Source organism: Homo sapiens, chromosome 12 (genome assembly GCF_000001405.40).
Source record: "Homo sapiens chromosome 12, GRCh38.p14 Primary Assembly".
In the NCBI taxonomy this organism is placed as follows: domain Eukaryota; kingdom Metazoa; phylum Chordata; class Mammalia; order Primates; family Hominidae; genus Homo; species Homo sapiens.
In genome coordinates, this window is record NC_000012.12 from 127,549,465 (window position 1) to 127,552,147 (window position 2,683).

Genomic DNA, 2,683 nt, shown 5'->3' on the forward strand with positions numbered 1-2,683 from the left:
CTCCTGGATTCAAGCGATTCTCCTGCCTCAGCCTCCCAAGTAGCTAGGATTACAGGCATGCACCACCAAGCCTGGCTAATTTTTGTATTTTTAGTAGAGACAGGGTTTCACTATGTTGGCCAGGCTGGTCTCAAACTCCTGACCTCAGGGTGACAAATGAACTTTTTCGGTCATTATATATATTTAAAATTTTAGCTTTTATTATATGTACAGGTTTGTTACATGGATAAATTGCTTGACACTGACGCCTTAGGTCCCAACAATCCCATCACCCAGGCAGTAAGCATAGTTTCCGACTACAGGTGATTCTTTAGGCCATGGCCCCCTCCCTCCCTTCTTCCCTCCTGGTCTAGTGATCCTCAGTGTCTCTTGTTCCCAACTTTGTGTTCAAGTGTATTCAATGTTTAACTCCCACTTATAATTGAAAACATGTGATATCTGGTTTTCTGTTCTTGAGTTAGGTAACTTAGGATAATGGCCTCTAGCTCTATCCATGTTGCTGCAAAGAACATGATTTTGTTTTTTGTTGTGGCTTCATAGTATGCCGTGGTGTTCAGGTACCACATAGTCTTTATCCAATCCACTGTTGATAGACACTTAGGTTGATCCTATGTCAGCATTGCAATGAACATATGGGTTCGTGTGTCTTTGTGATAGAATACATTATTTTCCTTTGGATATATACCCAGTAGTGGGATTGCTGGGTGGAATGGTAGTTCTATTTGGTAGAAATAGTAGTTCTTTGAGAGAACTACAAAGAACTACAAAGAAATGGTAGTTCTTTGAGAAATCTTTCTTGAAATCCTCGCATCGATGAGAAGGAAATGCTAGAACGTAATGATTATGTATTGTGTGTCTCCTATATCCCAACCCTGGGCAAGACAAGAGGTAATGGGCACTGGAAATAGATGAGTCACCTGCTCCTGACAATCCACCAGACTAGATGTGTCAGCAGTCACATAAAAAGGAATGCTTCCAGTCCAGCCTGGAAAAGCTGGAGAGCCACGGGGACCACATGCTGTGGGAACACCTAGGGCAGGGCTTGGGGAGGCAAGAAAGAAACCGAGTCATTCTGCCAGGCCTTGAGTAATGAGGTCTTGAGGGACACACAGGCATTTTCTAGCCTCGAAAGTCGAAGCACAACATTCCGGGCATGGCTGAGGACCTAAATAGCAGAGTTGATGTATGTTTGGAGCCCCTCCATGAGTCTTGCTTAAACTACAGTTGTAGGTAAGTGTGGGGAGGCGAAGATATTGTGTGTTGTAAGGGAAAATGAGAAGGCTTTTTCTCAGAATCGTTTTTCAGCTCTGAGGCTGATCCTTGGTGTAAACTGAGGGGTGTTCCCTTCTGTCTAACTCCCTCCTTTCCCATCATTTTGCTTCATTTATTTTCGCCTTCTGTGTTTAGTTTTTACACTATCTCTTTGCCTTCCACCTTTATTCCTCTAAGGGTGGGGCAATTGCATTTTGCATGACTGGATGAGGGCAGGGGAAGAAGATCAGCCCATCCCTGGGCAACCACATAGCACAGAAGCAAGGAGCCGTGTCTCTAGAGTCAGACACCAGTGAGTTGAATTTGGCTTAGCACATTTTTAGCTCTGAGATCCTGGGCAAGTGGCTGTATTAGTCTGTTCTCACACTGCTAAGAAAGACATAGCTGAAACTGGGTATTTCATAAAGCAAAGAGGTTTAATTGACTCACAGTTCCACATGTCTGTGGAGGCCTCAATATCATGGCAGAAGGTGAATGAGGAGCAAAGTCACATCTTCCATGGCAGCAGGCAAGAGAGCTTGTGCCAAAGAATGCTCATTTATGAAACCATCAGGTCTCATGAGACTTATTCACTACTATGAGAACAGAATGGGGAAAACTGCCTCCATGATTCAATTATCTCCACCTGGCCCCGCCTTTGACAGGTGGCGATTTTTACAGTTCAAGGTGAGATTTGGGTAGGGACACAGCCAAACCATATCAGTGGCTGAACCTCTCTGTGCTCTGGTTTCCTCTTCTGTTGAATGGACACATTCCAGCACCTACCCCAAGGCTGAGGATCAAGTGAGGGGATGCACAGAGTGTGCTTAGAAGGAACCTGGCATTCTGCAAGCATCCAACACATGTGGCTATGACGAGTAGCTGTTGTCATTATTGTTATTCCTTGATATTCTTCCGTGTGCTTTCCCTTAAGGCCAGTTTTGTTGCACCGGCCTGTGATACCAGGGTGCAGAGGGCACCTGACATTGCTCAGGGAAAGCTAGCTGCCACACAGTAGTCAACCTCGAATATGTCCTTGATGGCAAATCTACCTGACCCAGATGCCCAACTATATCCAGCACCAACTGCAGAGTCATCTGATGCGGTGTTTGAGATACCCTTTATGTTAGTGTCCTATTGCTTCTGTACCAAATTATCAGACTAAGAGGCTTAAAACATCACAAATTTATTACTTTACAGTTCTGGAGGTAAAAAATATAAAACAGGTCATTGGGCTGCTTTCCTTCTGATGGCTCTAGGGGAGAATTCATTCTTTGTCTTTCCCAGTTTCTAGACGCCTCCTGTGAATGCAGGGTCACGGCCCCTTCCTTTCATCTTCAGAGACAGCGTTGCAGCATCTTCAGATCTTCTCTCCTCTGAACTCTGCTCTCTTCTCTTCATGGCGGAGCCTCTTCCTCCAGCGGCATGTTGC